The 20,542-nt window shown below is 45.3% G+C and overlaps 1 long non-coding RNA gene across 1 annotated transcript in view, besides 1 other annotated feature; it reads right to left on the bottom strand.

The window, feature by feature from the left end:
- The window catches only part of LINC02964 (long intergenic non-protein coding RNA 2964), a 160,228-nt gene that overhangs the window by 13,725 nt on the left and 125,961 nt on the right, over positions 1–20,542 (bottom strand). Inside the window, exon 6 of the long non-coding RNA XR_001746072.2 lies at positions 16,137–16,177. This is a non-coding gene — a long non-coding RNA (long intergenic non-protein coding RNA 2964). The remainder of the gene's footprint in view (positions 1–16,136; positions 16,178–20,542) is intronic.
- Positions 10,110–11,309: an enhancer, noted in NCBI's record as "P300/CBP strongly-dependent group 1 enhancer chr8:126667345-126668544 (GRCh37/hg19 assembly coordinates)". NCBI's record gives its function as "activates an origin of replication core promoter dependent on BRD2, BRD4, P300/CBP, MED14 and CDK7 cofactors, with strong dependence on P300/CBP, by STARR-seq in HCT116 cells {active_cell/tissue: HCT116}" and the evidence as "EXISTENCE:reporter gene assay evidence [ECO:0000049][PMID:35650434]".

The following is a 20,542-nucleotide window of genomic DNA, read 5'->3' as shown; positions in this document are numbered from 1 at the left end:
ACACACACACACACATATATCAGGCATGGTGACACACATCTTTAGCCCTGCTATTCTGGAGGCTGAGGCAGGAGGATCAAGAAATAACAATAACCAGTATAATAGTGGCAACTAATGTACACTAAGCTCTTAGCATGTTGCAAGCACTATGCTAAGCATATTATTTCATTTAATCCTCTTGACATCACTGTGGCATAGATTCTTTTTTTATCCCTATTTTACAAATGAGGAAAATAAAGCTCAGCTGATAAATAATTGGCCCAGTTTGTATATGGTGGTGCAGCAGAAATTCAAACCCAGGCAAGCTTGACTCCAGAGCCCATACTCTCAATTCCTCCTGCCCTTCAAGCCAGAGATAAAGACATCCAAACAGCCCCAGCTTCCGCATGGCTGGATGCCCTTGAACAGCATACTTAACCTCTCTGAGATTTGACTTCAATCGTAAAGGTGGAACCCATAATACCTGCCTTCTGAAGTGGCAGCAAGGAGGAACTGAGTCAAGATCCCTAGGGTCAGGAGCTGGACGTTAGAGTTGCAAAACCTACCCAGGTGACTCAAATAAGCAGTCAATGTTGGGCTCCATCCCATCAGGCTCTGGGAGGTGGAAGGGCTTCTTAGGTTTTAAGGCAATGTGGATCACCTGGGATCTTGTTAAACCACAACTTCTGATTGAGCAAGGCTGGAGTGGGGCCTGAGATTCCTCGTTTCTAATGAAGCCTGCTTCCTCCTCCAGCCCTCCCCGCCTCCAAGGCTGGTGGACCATACTCTGAATATCAAGTAGGTCATGGTGGTGAGATGAATTTTCTTTTATGTCCCAAAGGATGTGCCTCCCCCATGGAGAGTTTTAAACAGCAGAGTGTTATGCTCTGTTCTATTGCCTATAAGAATCAGTCTGGCTGCTCTGTAAAGAGTAAAGCTCCAGCCTGGCCCATATGGTGAAACCCTGTCCCTACTAAAAATACAAAAATTAGGCAGACGTGGTGGCACGCACCTGTAGTCCCAGCTACTCAGGAGGCTGAGGCAGAAGAATCGCTTGAACTCGGGAGGCAGAGGTTGCAGTCAGCTGAGATCATGCCACTGCACTGCAGCCTGGGTGACAGAGCAAGACTCCATCTCAAAAAAAATAAAAATAAATAAAAGTAAAGCTTTGGGGAGCAGAGGGGTGGGGGGGCTATGGTAAAGTGGGGAACCCACTATCTGTCCTGGCCTGGAAACTACATGAAAAGACTCCTAGGCTCTCTTCCTAACCGAAATGTATGCAGGGAACCAAGCATAGTGGCTGGCATAGTGTCCGGCATAGGAGGCCAGAAACTGATAGGGGTGGTTGTCATTGTCAAGCGACAATGAGAGTGAGCAAAGTGTGGGTATGCCACAGGCCAGAGGCAAGGTCCTTCCTGCTGCTTCCCACCTCGTCCACCTCAACAGAAGGAAGCTTTCTTGGGGTGCTGGATAGAGAGCACCCTCTCCCCAGCTGTGACTGGGCACAGTGGAGAATGGAACAGGAAGGCCCAGCTGGGCAGGTTGGAAAACAGAGCAGACATTTTCCTGAATTCTGCGAGGCTGCCTATACCTAGCCCTGAGCCTGGCACCATCTGGCTGGTCCTTCTGAAAGGCTCCATGCATCTCTGGCCTTCCACACCCTTCTTTTGGTTGCTCAGATGAGAGAGTTGGGAGGAAAAGGATTTCACCTCCAAAGGAGGGGCTGAGAGCATTTAACGAAAGACTCATCTCTCCAGGCTCTGTTACCCTCTTGGCCGGGTGAGTCATGCAGCTAGAAAATAACAAACATGGGTAAATAAGATAATAGGAATGACACAGGTGACTCAGCGGACACCAATACACATAGGCCAGGGCTCAGCAGCCCACAGCAGGCAAGAGGCTGCTTTTGGAAAAGGAGGATGATGGTGAATAAGAAATCCACTCAAGATAGGGTTTCGTGTTTTTTTCTCATCCTAGTTTCAGACAGCATTTCACAAGGTGTTTTTTTTCCCCCAGGAGCTGCCTGAATCTGGCAGGCCCTGGCATTAGTCATAAGGGAGGGAGGCCTGGGGCTGGAGTCAGGGCCCAGGGAAAGATAGATGTGTGTGTGCAAACCTGCCCTGATGGTTGCAGAAAATGCAGCACCCTCCCTCATCACAGCCACCCATTCTGCCCCAGAGTGCTAACCTAGGCTGAGGGTTTTCTCTCTCAAACCCTTCACCAAAAGAAATTTGGACCCTAGAGTATTTATGTGTAAAGTAACAGGATGCCAGATATATATATAAAACTTGTCTCCCAGGGTGGAGTACAGAGGCGTAATCTCAGCTCACTGCAGCCTCCGCATCTCGGGTTCAAGCGATTCTCCTGCCTCAGCCTCCTGAGTAGCTGGGATTACATGTGCCCACCACCACACCTGTCTAACTTTTGTATATTTTTAGTAGAGATGGGTTTTCACTATGTTGGTCAGGCTGGTCTCAAACTCCTAACCTCAGGTGATCTGCCCGCCTCGGCCTCCCAAAGTGCTGGGATTACAGGCATGAGCCACTGTGCCTGCCCTAGGATATGTTTTTTAAACTCTGCTCCCCATCCTAAAATTGGGAGGTAATAGATGAAATTACATTGCCAAAATGTTGATAACTGTTGAAGCTGGCTGACGGGTAAGGGTATGTGGGGTTCATTAAACCTCATATTCTCTCTTCTTTTATGTGTTCTTAAATTTTCCTAATAAAACTGCTTTATTCTTGTTACTTTTTCTTTTCTTTTTTTTTTTTTTCAGCCAGAGTCTCACTGTGTCACTCAGGCTGGAGTGTACTTATGCAATCTTGGCTCGTCACACCTTTGACCTCTCGAGCTGAAATGATCCTCCCGCCTCAGTCCCCTGCGTAGCTGGGACTACAGGCACGTGCCCATGCCAGGCTAATTTTTGTTTTTTGTTTATTGTTTTTTGTTTTGTGGAGACGGGGTTTCACCATGTTGCCCAGGCTGGTCTCAAACTCCTGAGCTCAAGAAATCTGCCCACCTCGGCCTCCCAAATGTTGTCACTTTGGGACAACCTCTCACCTCCTAGAGCACGCAGACCTTGCTGGAAAGTTTGAACACGTTCCTTTCCCTCATGAGCCTCAGTGTCCCCAGAAGCCTGGCCATCACCTGGTAAAAAAGGGTGTCAGCTCCAATGCTGTCTAAGCATCCCCAGCACCCCAAACCTGTGTTTCTGTGGCAAGCTTGGGTGGTATGCAGAGTACAGTGGGACAAGTAGGGATTCTGGAGCCACAGTACCTAGATTTGAATGTGGGTCACCAGTTAGGTGACCTTGGACAATTTCTTTCTTTTTCTTTTTTTTTTTTTTTTGAGACACAGTCTCACTCTACTATCCAGGCTGGGGTTCAGTAGCACGATCTCAGCTCACTGCAACCTCAGCCTCCCGGGTTCAGGTGATTCTCCTGCCTTAGCCTCCAGAATAGCTGGGATTACAGGTGCCCGCCGCCACACCTGGCTAATTTTTGTATATTTTTAGTAGAGATGGGGTTTCACCATGTTGGCCAGGATGGTCTCAAACTCCTGACCTCAAGTGATCCACCCACCTTGGCCTCCCAAAGTGCTGGAATTATGGGTGTGAGCCATCACATCCAGCTGACATTTCTTTAACATTTCTGAACCTCAATTTCCTGATCTGAAAAAATGGGGAAAATAATATCCACCTCACGGAGTTGTTACCAGGATTCAATAACTCTATATTTATAAAATATGTAAAACAGTGCTTGGCATATGGCGTTCCAGAAGTAGTGTTAACTAAAGAAAAGGGAAAGACTTCAGAAGAGTGGGACAGCCAGCTGACACTCTAGGTCCGGACTGGCAGACTTTTTCTCCAACATGCCAGATAGTAAACATTGTTGGCTTCCTGGGTCATGTGGCCTTTGTCACAACTACTCAACTCTGCCATAGTAACATAAAAGCCACAAATAGATGACACGTAAGCAAACGGGCATGGCTGTGTTTCCAATAAAACTTTATTTCTAAAAAGAAGCAGTGGGCTGGATTTGGCTTGTGAGCTGTTTTTGCTGATCCCTGCTCTATGATACAGCAGAAAGGAGCACTGGACCAGGAGCCAGGAGATCTGGGTTCCTGTTTGCTCAGGCGAGTCACTCCTGCATCATGCTTTTTATACCCCACATCTCCTTTGAGCCTCATAGCAACCCTGAGAACTATTAGTATTATTATTCCATTTCCTAATGAGAGCTAGCAATCATTCAGTGCTCACAAAGAACCAGACAATATACCAAGTGGTACAAGTCAGTTGTCTTTTTAACCTTCTGAAGGATCCTATGAGATAAGTACTATTGTTATCTATATTTTATAGATGATAATCTTAGACCCAGAGAGGTAAAGTAACTAACTTGCCCATGGTCACGCAAGTGGTAACTCTGGCATTCAATAGCAGACGATCCAACTTGAGAACCAAGACTTGAATCTGAATTCTGGTTCAGGGATAAGGCTTGGCCTTGGGATAAGCCTTGGCCTTGTAAATACAGAGTTGAGTTCTGGAGGAGAAGTAGGCATTAGCCAGGTGTTGAAGAGTGTGGGTAAGAGAGAATAGGGAGGAGCATGCCAGGCACAAGTGATGCCTCAATTAGAGGCATTGAAGTGTCACTTTCAGGTTGAATGAGGGGAAGAGGAGTAAGAGACTAGGTAAGACTACAGCTGAGAAAAGTAGAGGCCATGCAGCAATGTGGAAAGGCACATGACAAAGAACCTGGATTTTATTCCAATACCATGGAGAACTACTAAGGATCCCAGTTCATGACTGGGCTAGTGCTCACCAAATATATTCATCCACGACTCTGCACTTCCATGACTCTGCTGGAAACTGACCACCTGTTCCCTTGCAGTTATACTGGGACCAGGTGATCCAGTTCTGATGGATTGTGAGTGGCAGTGACATTCACCACATCCAGTCTGAGGCAACTTGAAGCTAATATGCCTCTTCCCCCCATTTCTCCCCCTGCCGCAGCAGCCCCAGAGGCTACATGTTCCACATAATGTCACTACAAAATTAAAGAGAACTCAATCTTCACTGCACTTCAGCACAATGAGAGGTAAACTATTATTGGGTGAAACTGCTGAAATGCTTGTGGCTTATTACTGCACCACAGCTTAGCCTAGCCCAACTAATACATAATTAGTAGCCCTTGGGACCTTAAAGAATAAAGTTATCTCTCTTTCCCATATCCACTCCAAGTTATGCAAACTTTTTGGTTTTTGGTTTTGTTTTCATATAACGCGTCAAATTCCCGCATCATGCCAACTGACATCTGCTTAACACCTTCCGGTTTGTGTAGACCCTTCTCCAAGTCACTGCCTAAAACTCACCAGGCCCAGATGGGCCTGACTTGCAGGAGAACAGCACTAACCCCCTTCCAGTTCCACTTTCAGGAATACACCACAGGGCCACATCAGGTATGCTTGGAGGCGGGAGGTCAGATCCTACTGTTGATGCAAACAGAGTTTCCTGTGAATCAAATTCTAAGTATATATCACAGGTGCCTCTGCTAAGCCCATCTTCTCATACAGTTTTTTTTACAATTGACTTTTAATGGAGACCAGGAGGTCTTGTTACATTTCCTCCTAGGCCACCATGCCAGCCTCAGGACAGCTATCACCCAGCTGAAGAGAACAGGACAAACTGGGAGGAATAGTAAGAAAGTGCTGCAAAGTGACCACAGTTTGGTGTTTCTTGCTCCTGACGGGCCCAGGCTTTTGGGGGATGGGAATGTGTGGAGAAGGGAAGGTTCTATGTGAGCTATGCTTACGGTGACTGTTTCTTCCAAGCTGAAAATCGAGATACAGATCAGATCGAAATATTATGCCATTTTGGAGAGGGAGGGATTCATTTGGATGCTCACATTAGAGAATTTTAGGAATATAGAGGGATCCTTTGGGTCAAGAAGAAAGAATTCTTGGCCACTGGGGTTGCCAGGACAATCTGGAGGATATGATTATAGCAGATCCTGTTGTCTGGAGGCCTCAGAGAAGGAGGGGCTCTAAACTGCTACCATGAAGGTTGAAAGAGAGAAGAAAGATCCAGCGGAGTGCTATTCACAGGTAGAAAGCAAGGAAATTGGGCTTTAGGGCCAAGAAAGCCTGCATTCAAATCCTGGCTCCACCATCGATCTATCGTATGAACCTTAAGCATGTCCCTAAACTTGTCTAAGCTATAGTTTCCTCAGTTGAATCTTATTTAAATGGCAGCATCCACCTTGAGGAACTGCTTGAAAGTTGAAGGGTGAAGGTCTATAGACGCCATGCTCTTAGAAAGCACTGGAGCTGGGAGTGCCATTGCTCACCCCTTCTTCTTTCACTAGGTACTAGGTAATTCTCCCACTATGTACTTAACTGCCACTAGATAATGGATGAAAAGAACTGTCTGTAAAGAGAAAAATATTCACTTTAGTAAAAATGTTTTATAATAATCTTTAGAACTGGAAATTGCCTTGGGACAATGGTACATATTGTATATTAGAATCACTGGGGAGCTTTTTAAAAAAAAAAACTCCTAATGCCTCGGCCCACCTCCAGGGATTGTGTTTCATGCCATTTGGGTGAATATAGAGTGCAGCTGGGCTTAAGGACCTCAAGCTCCGGCACCTCCTACCTCCAGAGAGAGCCCACCCACACAACAGCCCGCACAGGTCAAGGTGCTGGAGACTGAGCGGCCTCCCACCCCACAGGCATCCTGCCTTAAAGTTCCTGCCTGGAAGGCCGAGCATCTTGGCTGCCTGCCATGCGACATTCCATCCTTCCCTTGAGAAAAATAGGAGAACACGGAACCCAAGGCTAGGCTCCTGCTTTCCCAAGAGACAATTTATGGATGTTACAACAAAGAGTAGGAAATGGAAGACAAAGCGTTCTTCAGGGCCTTTATATCTTGCTGTAAATCATGAGATCTTTTCCACATTTGCTACTTTGTAATAAATCTATTAGAGGTTAGAGGAGACCGAGCTCCCAGGGCCCCAAATGAGAAGAAGAAATAGCAATTGAATGTCACTTTTGCCACTTAGCTCAAGTGTAAAAGAAGGGGGCAGGTCACCTTGTCCCCAGGCAAGCAGTGACGAGCTTATGTTCCAGGAACTGAACCATGAAGGGACCTCTCTGTCTTCCTCCAATAAGGGTGGGAGTGGGCAGGAATAGAAGAGGGGAAGGATCGTCACTGTTCAGAATTGCTTGACACTATCCCAGGAAAGAAATTTCTCCAGCAGAGATATGTGAAGGCAAGGCCACTAACACCCGATTGTATTTCAGTATTATCTTGAGTAGACGATAAAAAGAGCCATGTTGGAAAATTTATTTGGTGGTATTCTTGGATTTCTAAACCTTTCACACCCTACCTGATTACAATTTTTTGGCTTTAGTTAATTAAGAGGCTGGCAAAACATGAATCACTTCTGTTCTTTGGCCAAAAATTTTCCTACAACATCATCAGAGAGAGAGAGGGCATTAAATCATGAAAAGTGAAAGTGCAAGGAACCAGGTCAGATTCCAGGCGGGTCCAGAAGGAAAAAAGAGACATGAAGTCTTAAAATATTAACTCCGCTTAATAGACCAAGGTGAACTAGAGATCATCAGTCCTTCCAGCCTCCCCAGTACACCAATATTTCTGCTCTTCCCATGAGGAAATATGATGAGTACAGCAGTAGAGTGAGAAAGGAGGCCTGTCCCTAGCACTTCCCATAGAGGACAAATAGGCACAAGCAATTTCACACCTCTGTGAGCCAAAGAAGGAAAGCAAGGTGCATTTGTGGAATATTCCAGAAATCACACCAGCCCCATAAACCCAAAGGTGAACCTTATCTCCTTATCATTCTTCCTCTGCTCCCTCGATATTTATTTATGCAGCCAGCATTGATATGTTTCAGGCACACAGAACCAGAAATTGGCAGAAATAGGAACTGACTCCCACTGGGACTTAAAAAATTGCTCAGACATCATGGTGATGTCCTATCAACAGAAAACCAGAGCCAGCTGCCGAGAAACAAGGCTGTTCTCTCTTTCAAATCACCCTCTTCAGGTTTCAGGTAACCAGGGTCTCCACCCCAGCCCTGTACATGCCCCACTCAACTTCCAGCTTGTGCTGTGATGTGAGCGAGTCATTGACTTTCTGTGCCACAGTTTCCTTGGCAATTCAGATGAGAGCGGTTGCTCTGCCTGCCTGCTGGGGCTGCTGTGTGTGTCAAAAAAGTACAGTGACCTATGAGGCCACACGTGCAGATTGGGTCTCTAGAGAATGGCAGGGGAGGTGAGGAAGAGGGTATCCATCCTGCATCCCACCCAAATGGCAGTGAGAAGGAGGAGGAGGAAGAATAGAAGGCTGCTGCTGCTGCTACTAGTAATGACAATGACAACCACACCATGACAAAGACCCTTGTAATCTCACGGTACAGATTCTATACATGGGCTGACCAACAACCAAGTAGAAAAGGGAAAGACTGATTGGCAGATCACTATTTTCTCTTCCCCCTGGGAGGGCACCATGATTTAAGTCATAATCCTAGACAAGGAGACTCATATTATTTAATTTGTTTCTTGAAAATCACCTCAACATTCTCTTTTTGTTCACATTAAGGAAATGTCACATAGAAGACGTCAAAGAAATGATCAGATTAGAATGGGTGGCAACAACTGTTGTGATAACCAAGACTCTACACAATAGCGCTTATATTCCACCTCTCTCCCTGGGCACTCAGCAAGCAAGTGCAGACGGGATCTTGCTCATGCACCCAGCACTCCCTCTGGGCCCATGGGAAAAGTGAGGCTTCCCTCCCTCAGGGATGCTCTCCCAAGGTGTTGCGGCAATCTTCCTGAGCCAGAAACCAGAAGGAGGAGGACAGCAGCTAATGTTTATTGAGTGTTAACAAGGTACTTTACTTAATCCTCCAATTAACCTATGCAATAAAAAACATTGCCCCCATTTTATAGATGAGGCAACTCAAGGTCTCAGAGATAAAGTGACTTGTCCAAGATCACAGAACTAATAAGCAATGGAACCCAGAGCTTGAAGGGAGGCCTGGCTCAAAGCACCATATGCTATGGTGCTGTGGGAAGTGTAGAGATAAATATTCCAGAATAAATATGCCCTTTAAGGAGTTTTCAGTCCAGTTGGCGAGATGAACAGGTACAAGTACCATAAAATACAAAGTAGAATGTGATAAATGGTAACGTACAAGCAATGAACTCCAGGTGCCCACAGGAATAATTCATTTGACCCTGGGATCCAGGAGGTCTTCAAAAAACAGATGGCATTTGAATGGACTCATGAAAGATGGTGCCACAGTAGGAGGAGGAAAGGGAGAGGGGGAATAAGGAAGAACAAAGAAAGACCAGCCCTGGCAGAGACCTGGGAGTCCAAGAGCACCTGACAGGTTGCCAAGTCGGGAGGGTGGGGACCACATCACCACCCGGCTTATGGTTTCTTTTCTTTCAGGATAAAGTCCAGATCTCTTAACAAGGCTCACCAGGGCATTCAGGAACTGGGCTTCTTCCCAAGCCATAAATTGCCACCGTTGTGTCAGTTCACAACTCCTCATACTGTCTCTCACATCTAAGTCCTTCTTGCTGGGACGCTCGGGCCATGTTTTCCACTCCCCACTCCCACCCCTGACTCATTGTCAGGCAACATCCTATTTATTCATCCTTAAGTGCTGGACATCTCGCCCTCGCCCCAGGCAGATGCAGCCTCCCCTCCAGTGGGCTATTAGAGCCCCTCCACATTCAGCACCACACTGATCAAGCTGCCTGTGCTTGCTCACTTATGGCCTGCATCTCCCACAATGCTGGGAGCCTCATGGGGGTTGGGGCACATGATTTTTTTCCCCAGAGTTTAATGCAGCACCTGCAATATAGGAGGTGACAGCAAAGATTGACTGAATAAATGACCTAACAATGGGAAGAGGTGAGACATGAGGGAAGAGAGGAAACTTGGGTCCAGATTTTGAGTTGGGAGTTGGGGGCAAAGGAGCAGGACTTTGGATTTAATGTGTTTGATTTTCATTCTGCGGACAAGGAGGGGACTCCACGATGAGTTTGAGGAAGAAATATATCCTGCTTATCAGGTTGCAATGCACGAACATAGGGAGAGAGCAAGGCTGGAGACAGACAAATATGTTAGAAGGCTTTCGTGACGGTGCAGACAAGAAATGGGAAAGCAAGCACACTACTCATTTAAAGAACCCTTTAAAAAACCGAAAGCAGATGTTCAAAAGTACATCTTGGTTGTGACCTGAAGACTGGCAGCATTCCATGAGGCCAGACTTGACTGCTGTGGACCAGTCTGGGAAGGGCTGGGAAACTGTTCATAGGAGCTCTAAAGGAATCGACATGAATCAGTGGAAGCACTGGCAAAAGCACCCCTGGGAAACCGCCTATTATATGACTAAGGCTTTGAGAAATCTCTGGTGATGGCCTGGCAGAATGTTCGGCAGCTGAATCTGTCATTGAAAACCTAAGAGGGCTTCTGGGAGCGTGTGTATTACGGGCTGTGGGAATCCTGGGTCATAAAACTTTCGCCCAGCCGCTGGAGTGCCTGACTGGGCAATTAAGGAGGATTCTTTCAAGCAGATCAAAAGGCTCTGGTGAGGTGATCTCAGGAAGCTTCCTGCCCTCCCTGTGAGGAAGGTAGGAGTCGGGCCTCATTATCATCATTTTACAGATGAGAAAAGTAGGTTCCCTGGTGACTAAGTCCCTTGCCTGAAGTCAAACAGCCAGCAAAGGGTGGGACCCAAAAATAAGCATATCAGTCACCTGACTCACAGGACATCGTTGCTCCAGAGCTCCCATCCCACAGAAGATGGCCTGTTCTTGGGAAGTCTGAGCCGCATTTGGAATGTTAGGGCACGAGGTGGTCTGCAGGGGCTATCTCAACCACTTGACACACACGGATACTTCCACACACACCCAGAGACTTGGCATCAGCTTTCTGCAACATCAAATGTCTTGACAGTCTTCTCACATTAGCCATTTTATGAAACCAAAGACCTCAACTTAAAAATCACAATGCAGTTCACCCCTTGGCCCACCTATAGGCAAAGCATTTCAGAAGGCATACACAATTGTAGCAGTCATCTTATGGAACTTTTCCCCAGGTTCGTAGAGTTGTGCCTGGCTTCAAATGGCTGTTCTACCCCTCACTATTCCCAGGACATTTGCAAGTTACTTAACCTCTCTGAGTCTCAGATCCCACATATGTGAATTGGAAATATGTAGGCTACCTCTCTTACTGTGTTGTTGGAAGGATTCAGTGAGGTCTGGAATGTAAAGTATATGGTACAGTGCCTAACATGTAGTCATCAATAAAAAACATTAGCAATTATTAATCACACTGATTATACAAGTGACCCAAGTACAAAATGTAATTCTATGTTTTCTTTCTGTTCACAGTCTGGCTACTAAGGAATTAAGTCAAATCTTAATATTTAACCAGTTCCCTCCCTTCCAGGCCAAGGAAATTTATTTTTACTCTTAATCTCAACCACCTGCCATGTTTTACAGAGGAGGTAATTACCCTTAGTGCAAAGGATACTTGTTATAGGAAGACTCTAAGAGTCTCAGAGATGGGTCTAGCTTGTGATGGCTTCAGAATCTCCTCTGGAGCCCTGCCTTGGGCCTTCTTAGTCTTGTCACTGCTGTCTGGTCATCAACAGGTCCAGCATCCAACCAACTAAAGGTAGCCAACAAAGAAAGGCCAAAGGCTAGTTCCCAGTTGCAAGATGACATATACTTCTTTGGTTGTGACTCCAACAGCATCCTTGAGTTGCACAGTGTCTCCTGACCTGGAAGACCATCCCTCCAAATGAGCCCTGGTCATCCAATGTGCTTGAAGAGGCATGTCCTATTATAGGCTGTTATTCTTTTTGAATATTATGGCTGCACTACATGCACATCACTGTTCTGTGCTCATCCCATTAGCACATCCCACAGGTCACCTGCAGTTGGGTGACAGCTCCTGTATACTCCTCCACCTTCTTACTCTAAGTTCCTACATCTCTTGGACTGTGGTCTTTATCTGCCACAGGAATGCACTTGGCCCTCTCTCAGGGCAGACCAGGGAGATAATGCTTCCAACTAATAAAGGACAAGCATTAGTAGATAAATGCCCTAGTGGCCTCAGCCCCAAGTGGACAATTCTGAGATATGTCCCATTCTGTTTCTCAATGGAGTTCTCAGCACAGTTGAGTCTCAGATGAGTGCAGCAGCAGCTACTCAGTCATGCACCCTTTACTGGCGGCCTCCTGCCTTCCTTGACTCCCTTCCTCACTCCCCTACCAGAGCCTCCTAGTATCACCTCCAAATTAACTGCTGGCACCCAAGTCCTTGTCTGGGATCTGCTTTTGGGAAAGCCCAAACCAAAAAAATAAAAATAAAAATAATTCAATAAAAATAGCCTTTCTTTAAAAACGGCATAAATAATTTAACTAATACAACTATATTAAATAGACATTGGCACTGAAATACAATATGGAACAAAACTGACAAGCATGAAACCTCTTGCTTGTAGTGCTCTCTCTCAACAGAGCGTAGTGCTCTCTCTCAACAGAACAACTACCACTGAAATCTTCCAGGACTTTTTCCAATCACACCCCAAACTCCTGCGTTCCCATAATCTCCCAGGTATTGAAGACTTCCACCTTATTCCTGGGTTTTCCAAGGGCTTTATTGCCTGTTAGGGGCCAGGATTACGATGAGACCAATGAAGTCAGGTTGTACAAATCCAAGGCTAGAGCCAGTCTTTATTTAAAAGTTTGACAATTTGTTCATCATCTTTTGGCAGTGATTTTGAATTTTAAATCATTGCTTTAAAATTTAATTTATCTTGATTACTGAGGTTTTCAGCATCCCTTAAATTTAGCACCCAAAGTTAGTGCCTCACTCACCTCATATTATCCCCAGCCATAAATATGAAGTGAGTCCTACAAGAGCCCATAGCCAGCTAGTGTGAAGCTCTCCAAAACCAATTAATTAGACTCCTCAGGGCCAAGATGGAGCTGTTCATTGGTTCATTCAATGTCAACTTACTACTATACTCTTTGATCCTTTTCCTTCCAGCTCCCAAACTTAAAGGCAAAAAATAGATCAGAGTACTCTGTAATTTTTTTCCTGCATGATCCTCAGAAAATATTTGCTTACCTGAGGCAAGGCATGTTCTCAATAACTTATTCAATGAGTGTCCTTCTCATCCTAGATGTACACCTCATCTCCATCAAAAAGGGTGCCCTTTACTTAGCTCTGCAGATGTTACATGTTTAAAACACTGGCTAAGAGGGCTCCAGTAAGCCTATTTTCCACTAAGACTTTTTAAATTTAACTTTGGGAGTTTTGTCCTGAAAAATGTGTAAGTATTTGGAATCTATAAAAACAGTTTTGTTGTTTTGGTTGTTGCTGTTGTTGTTGTTGTTGTTTTAGACGGAGTCTCATTGTTGCCCAGGCTGGAGTGCAGCAGCGCAATCTTTGGTCACTGCAACCTCCACCTCCCAGGTTCAAGTGATTCTCCTGTCTCAGCCTCCTAAGTAGCTGAGACTACAGGCACCTGCCACCACGTCTGGCTAATTTTTTTGTATTTTTAGTAGAGATGGGTTTCATCATGTTGGCCAGGTTGGTTTCGAACTCCTGACCTCAGGTGATCTGCCCGCCTCAGCCTCCCAAAGTGCTAGGATTACAGACATGAGCCACCACGCCCAGCCCAAAGACAATTTTTAAACAAAATTATTTCACCTAATGTGCTGTATCTTGAGTGTTTTTTAAATTTTCACATGTGCCTTATAGTGGATGTATTTTCTTTTTGGTTTTCGATTTTTTTTTTTTTCTATTGCCGTGTAACACATTGCCACAAACGTAGAAGTTTAAAACAACAGTCATTTATTTTCTCACAATTTCTGCGGGTTAGGAGTTTCGCATGGCTTAAGTGGGTTTTCCAATTAGGGTCTCATCTGGCTATGGCTCAAGTATCGGGCAGGCTGCATCCTCATCTGGAAACTTAACTGGGGAAAAATCAACTTCCAAGCTCATTCAGGTTGTTGGCAGAATTCATTTCCTTGTGGCTCTCTTAGTGAGGGTCCTGGCTTTTTTCTGACTGTTGGCTAGAAGCCGTCCTCAGGTCCTAGAGGCCCCCACAGTTCCCCATCATGCAGGCCTCCCCAACATGGTTGCTTGTTTCATCCAGCCCACAAGGAGAGTCTCTGATACAGAATCTGATATAACATAACTCAATCACAAGAGTGACATTCCATCCCCCTTGCCATATTCTGTGGGCTAGGAGCAAGTCACAGTTCCTCAGGCAATCGACAGAAGGAGATTATACAACAGCATGAACACCGGGAGGTAAGGATCATAGAGGCCACCTTGAAGTAGGTGCCACAATAAGAGTCTCTGCCTTAACTTTAGCAACTGTCACATTCTCTGCCAGAATACCCTCATCTCATACCCTCCCATTCCACCACTAGAAGGCACAAATACAGCTCACCACCACCAACTATACAATTTCTTTGCAGTCACATATTTTTACCTTAGAAATTCTTGTGACATTTGCATTTGCATTTATTCTATAATGTATCCCAACATGTTTTTATATAAGAATTTATTTAATATTTACTGGTCAGATAGTTTAACTCTTCATGTCTTCAAATGGAAACAAAGCTTAGGAAGATGTGCCATGTTTTTTCATATGCAACTGTGTACTTCTGTTGGAGGACAGTTTAAACTGTATTTATCCTAGTTTTCAAATCCCTTAAAGTTTGCCTGGAAGACCTATAGGGTGGACCTATAAGAATCTATTTGCATAAGTCATTAAGCCTCCTGGGAAGAAATGCATTCTAAGGAAAAGTTACCCAAACTTTGTTGATTTTTTCACATTTTACAACATGTATGATATGTTCTGCATTTGAAAACCACCTGTACTTAATACTTTTAATTAACTCCTTTTTTAAAATTTACCCTCTTCTTTAACAAAAACAATAACCTACACTTTTCCTAGTACACTTTAAAATAAAGTGGCTAATGACTAAATGTTTTATTTTTTTGTTTTTGTTTTTGTTTGTTGAGATAGGGTCTTGCTCTACTGCTCAGGCTGGAGTGCAGTGGTGCGATCATGGCTCACTGCAGCCTTGATCTCTCAGGCTCAAACAATCCTCCGGCCTCAGCCTCCCAAGTGGCTGGGACTACTGGTGCATGCCACCAAGCCTGGCTAATTTTTTTTTTTTTTTACTTTATGTGGAGACAGGGTCTCACCATGTTGCCCAGGCTTATCTTGAACTCCTGGTCTCAAGTGACCCTCTTGCCTCAGCCTCCCAAAGTGCTGGGATCACAGGTGTGAGCCACCACGCCCAACCTGACTAAATGTTTTAATCATAATTTGCTTAACATCAAAATTCATTTCACCCCCACCCCAGCCACCTGTGGTAAGCAGCCTCTAAGATGATCCCCAATGATTCCTGGCCCCTTGTTATTCACAGCCTTGTGTAACCTGCTTCAGAGTGTGAGCTGGACCTAGTTACTAGTTTCTAATCAATAGATTTTGGCACAAGGGATGATACATCACTTGAAGAATAGGTTATAAAAGACTGTGACTTGTGTCTTGTTTGCCTTCTGCCTCGCCCTATCACTTGTTCATTACAACAAAGCCAGCGCCATATTGGGAGATACTCTATGGAGAGATCCATGTGGAAAGAAACTGAGGAAATCTTCTAGCCAGTAGCTCCTGAGGCACAGAGACCCTCGGCACAACAGCCGGCAAGAAACTGAGTCCTACCCCCACCAACCCCAGGATGCTGGGAAGCAGCCCCTGCCCTATGCAGCCTTGCCATGACCACAGCTTTGGGAAAGACCCAGAGCCCAGAGACCCAGTTAAGCCTCTCCTGGATTGCTGACCTTAAAAACTGTGAGACACTAAATGATGCTGTTTTAAGCTGCTAAGTGTTGGGGTAATTTGTTACATGGCAATAGATAACTAATACAGCCTCGACCAATGGTCAGTGCCCCACACTTTAGAGAACACCATCCTAAAGGGACCATGTTCCAGTGGGACACTATTCCAGTGTAGTAAGTGGAGCAATCATGGAAAGTAGAGGGACAAGTTGAGTGCAACGGCTCAGACGTGTCCAGATACGCTTCTTTACCTCTGCCTTGGAGCTTGTTCCAGAACCTGTGAGGGTGAATGCTGAAACAGAAAAAAAAAAAAAAAAAAGAATTACTTTTTATTAAAATCTCCTTGAGTTACTGGGAGGCAGCGTGGCCCTGCTTTGGGGCAAATGTAAGTAAACAAGATGCAAAAAGACAGAGGCATCGGGTCAGGATGGATCACAAGGTGACACTGGATGAATGTGGGATCCCCAGTGCAGACACCAGCCACACCAACCTTGGCAAGAGCCTCCAAAGCTTGAGTGCAGACATCAGAGCAGAAAGCTGGAGCTGGGAAACAGAAGAGTAAATACTACATGAGAGACAGGGGGATGGAGTTCACATGGACACATGAGCTGTTCCCTGGGACTTCCAGAAATAACTAAGATGAGACCCTTGGCAGGGGATCCCAGACAGTAAGACAAGAGACTGACACAAGGTAAACATAAAGCAAATACAAATATGTATTGACAATCAATAAAATAAAAGGTGTAATGGATATTGTGACCCTGATCCTCCTCAAAGTCTAGGGTCCCCAGGGACTTAAGAATATGAAATATTCTCTTCCTAACAATATTGTAAGACCACAGTACAGGGTTCCGCCTAGCCTTCCAGAGTGTGATGTAAGAAGGGCATTTATCATTAATTCCTCTTTACAGAAGAGGAAATGATTTCACTCGGCTCACACAGCTGGTGGGTCTTGATAGACTTGGAACCAGAACCCAAGGCTTTTGATTCCTCATCTAGTTTTCTTCTCCAGGTTGTCCCTTTAATTTCCATCATTACCCCACCCTTCCCACTGGAATAGTGCCTTAATGCTGTTCCTTCAGGATGGTGTTTTCCACAGTGTGGCATAAACCGTAAGTCAAGGATGTATTAGTTATCTATTGCTGCACACTGACATTCAGTGCGAAATGCGGAAAGAGAGAAATACCGTGGTTTTTCCGATCTAAAGACTATAATATAAATGAGCTTATGTTTACCCCCTTGGCCTGGCCCCACAACTGGAGGCTGCTTTTTTTTTTTTTTAAACAGGGTTTGCTGGGGCAGAAGCCTGCTTATTCAGTGCTGCACAGTGCAAACACCAGCCAACCACCTCCTCCTCATCACACCACAGCCAAACTGCTCTGAAATGCAACCTCAATGCCCTCTCAGGCTGAGCTCACTCCTCAATTTCTGGGTGCACAATCAGCCCTGAGCACAGGAGGCAGAAGAAAGCACCAGTGCATTGTGGAACGTTTCCAACATAGCAATGATGCTACTTTAAACAGCTCAGTGTTGTGGTATTTGTTACACAGCAATAGATAACTAATACATCCTTGACTTACAGTTTATGCCACACTGTGGAAAACACCATCCTGAAGGAACAACATTAAGGCACTATTCCAGTGGGAAGGGTGGGGTAATGATGGAAATTAAAGGGACAACCTGGAGAAGAAAAACAGATGAGGAATCAAAAGCCTTGGGTTCTGGTTCCAAGTCTATCAAGACCCACCAGCTGTGTGAGCTGAGTGAAATCATTTCCTCTTCTGTAAAGAGGAATTAATGATAAATGCCCTTCTTACATCATGCAGTTATTAGCAGCCTCAAATTACAGAACCTGAGTGAAAGCTCTGTAATATGTGAGGTTGTACACCAAGCGAGGAGTTATAATCATCAACATTATCATCATCTTTATTGTCGGCTGTTACAAGGTAAAACCAATAAAAGTTTAAATGCCCCAGTCAAAGTCCAACTAAGTAAACAGAAACCACTCTAGGTATTTGAAACCAGGGGAAATTAATATAGAGAATGGGTTACCTAGGTGAAGAGCTGGAAAGACAACTAGAAAATAGTGTCTTTCAGTTCAGAGATGAATAATAGCAGGAAGCCACTATCACCCGTAAGCTGGCGGAACAACAGGAAGAGGCAGGATCGCAGCAACCCAAGGCTTAGGCTTACCCTGTAAGAAACTGGAACCGGAGCAGGAGCTAGAACCAAGGAAGAAATGCAAATTCTCTGCCAGAGACACCTCTGAAGGCAGAGGGGAGGAGAAACACCCTGGTCTCTCCTTTCCTGATCCCCTTTGGTCTTCTGCCAGTGCCTCCCTCTGGCTGGACCCCGTCAGAAACCAGGTGACACAAGAATGACAAATGCATCTGGAGCCCACAAGTCCTGGTCCAAAGAAGCATTCTATTTAGCAAGAAATGCAACGAAGTGCTGGAAATGAAAATAACCCAACAAAGACACCCAAGGTCCCAAAGGCAGAGCCCAAAGGAGCATGGAGTTCATCTGGTCCAAGTCCTGGTTCTATAGGTGAGAGTTCAAAGAGGAAAATGATGTGACTTGCCCAAAACAATGACACAGCTGGCTCCGGGCAGTCTGGAACCCGGGCATCAGCTTCCCAGTTCATAGCTGTTTTCACAACATTAACTTTACAATCATAAAAAGCAGAGGCTCTTCAACTCACCAAATGGATGTGTTCCACTAGTTGATTTCTAGGGCAATTATTTGGATTTCAAAATTCATTTTTCCATGAAAACAAGGTTTTCTGGGCCGATTGTGGTCCCACACTAGCTATCAAATACCTATCGAGCACACTACATGGAAAAGGAAAGAACCTTAGTGCTTCAAATCAATAAGAAATCAAGGCCGGGCGCGGTGGCTCACGCCTGTAATCCCAGCATTTTGAGAGGCCGAGGCAGGCGGATCACGAGGTGAGGAGATCAAGACCATCCTGGCTAACACAGTGAAACCCCGTCTCTACTAAAAATACAAAAAATTAGCCAGGCGTGGTGGCGGGCGCCTGTAGTCCCAGCTACTCAGGAGGCTGAGGCAGGAGAATGGCGTGAACCCGGGAGGCAGAGCTTGCAGTGAGTCGAGATCGCGCCACTGCACTCCAGCTTGGGAGACAGCGAGACTCGGTCTCAAAAAAAAAAAAAAGAAAGAAAGAAAGAAAAAAAGAAAAGAAAGAGAGAGAGAGAGAGAGAAAGAAGAAAGAAAGAAAGAAAGAAAGAAAGAAAGAAAGAAAGAAAGAAAGAAAGAAAGAAAGAAAGAAAGAAAGAAAGAAAAAAGAAATCAAAAGGCTGATCAGCATCTTTCTCCTAGGGCAGACCAGAAGAGAGAATGATCTGCCCCATCTCTCCTCCCTCCACCTTGCTGGCCAAGGTTTCCCCTGCTCTGACATGAAGGGGCAGAGCACCTTGCCATCCAACTGGTGACAGGGTACTTCTCCATCCCCACATCCTTTCCCACAGTGGTTGTCTCAAAAGGGCAGTCTGTGGTTGCAAAGGCAGCAACGAAGGGGCCTGGAGCTCCTGGAGGCCTGGAAGAGGTCTCTCATTGCTGTTTTCTCATTATTGTTGCTGGTGTTGGTTTTGCTCTTTACATCTTTGTGCCCTCGGCATCCTTCTAGTGACTGACACAATCCAATCCTGAGATTGTCACTCAGTACCACACCCTGCCCAGAAAGGTCTGAATTACCATCTTCAGGCTGCGTTATGGGGAATGGTAATAGTCATTATACGATAATTTTATATTTGGGAAATGAAAACAATCCCTTTTGTTTTCTGCTGTAAGTTAAAGAAGGTAAAATTTTCACACATGCAAAAGCAGTCTTCTTGGTTAATGAGGATATTTAGGAAGAACCAAGAGAGCTGAGCATGTACTGAGGAAACACCTCCACATGGTGCCATCTTCAATGGCAGAGATGGTCACGAGATGGGCGCTCCCCTCTCTGGGCTGCCGTCAATTTCCCTCTGGTTCTGGCAGAGAATTCCCTAAATGGCTGCAAGGTTGCCCACGCTTGATCTTCTGGTTTTGGACACCCTCCTACAGTTGTTAAGCTCTAATTTCATGAACCAACTACACTAGAAAGAGAAACTACCCATCTACCCAAAAATGAGAATGAGAGTAAGATACCTGGGAATGTAAAAGAAATGCAACTTAGTAGCTAATGCAAGAAATGGAAACAAATACATTTCCTGCCTTGCAGGTCAAAACACAGAGACGTATTTCCTCAAACCTTGACAACTATCTCCCAGGTGAAGAGAACAGGAAATTAAGGTTTTTACAGCTTTGGCAGCATTCACACTCCAGTGCCCTTTGCTGTAAAGCCTCCCTGCCCTGCAGAGGCAGAAGAGTTTGTTCTTATCCCTTGCCTCCTTGCCCCTGACCCATGCTCCCATCCTATTTGATCAGGTACACCATATACAGTCGCACAGTCAGTGCACTGCACAAGTCAGGAGGTGCCATTTCCACCAGCTGTATTGTGACTGGGCTCCCTGGAGTTGTACGGTGCTTCCATCAGGGTGTGTTCTGTGGCTTGCCTTGTATCACAACTGACACCTGCAAGGCCATGGACTCCTAACTGACCTATAGTCACTGGCAGTGTCCCTGGCACGTAGCACAGTGCCTGGTACCTAGA

The sequence above is a fragment of the Homo sapiens genome, chromosome 8 (genome assembly GCF_000001405.40).
Source record: "Homo sapiens chromosome 8, GRCh38.p14 Primary Assembly".
Taxonomy (NCBI): Eukaryota; Metazoa; Chordata; class Mammalia; order Primates; family Hominidae; genus Homo; species Homo sapiens.
The sequence above is the reverse complement of the archived record's forward strand: the minus strand, read 5'-3'. Positions and strand labels throughout refer to the sequence as shown.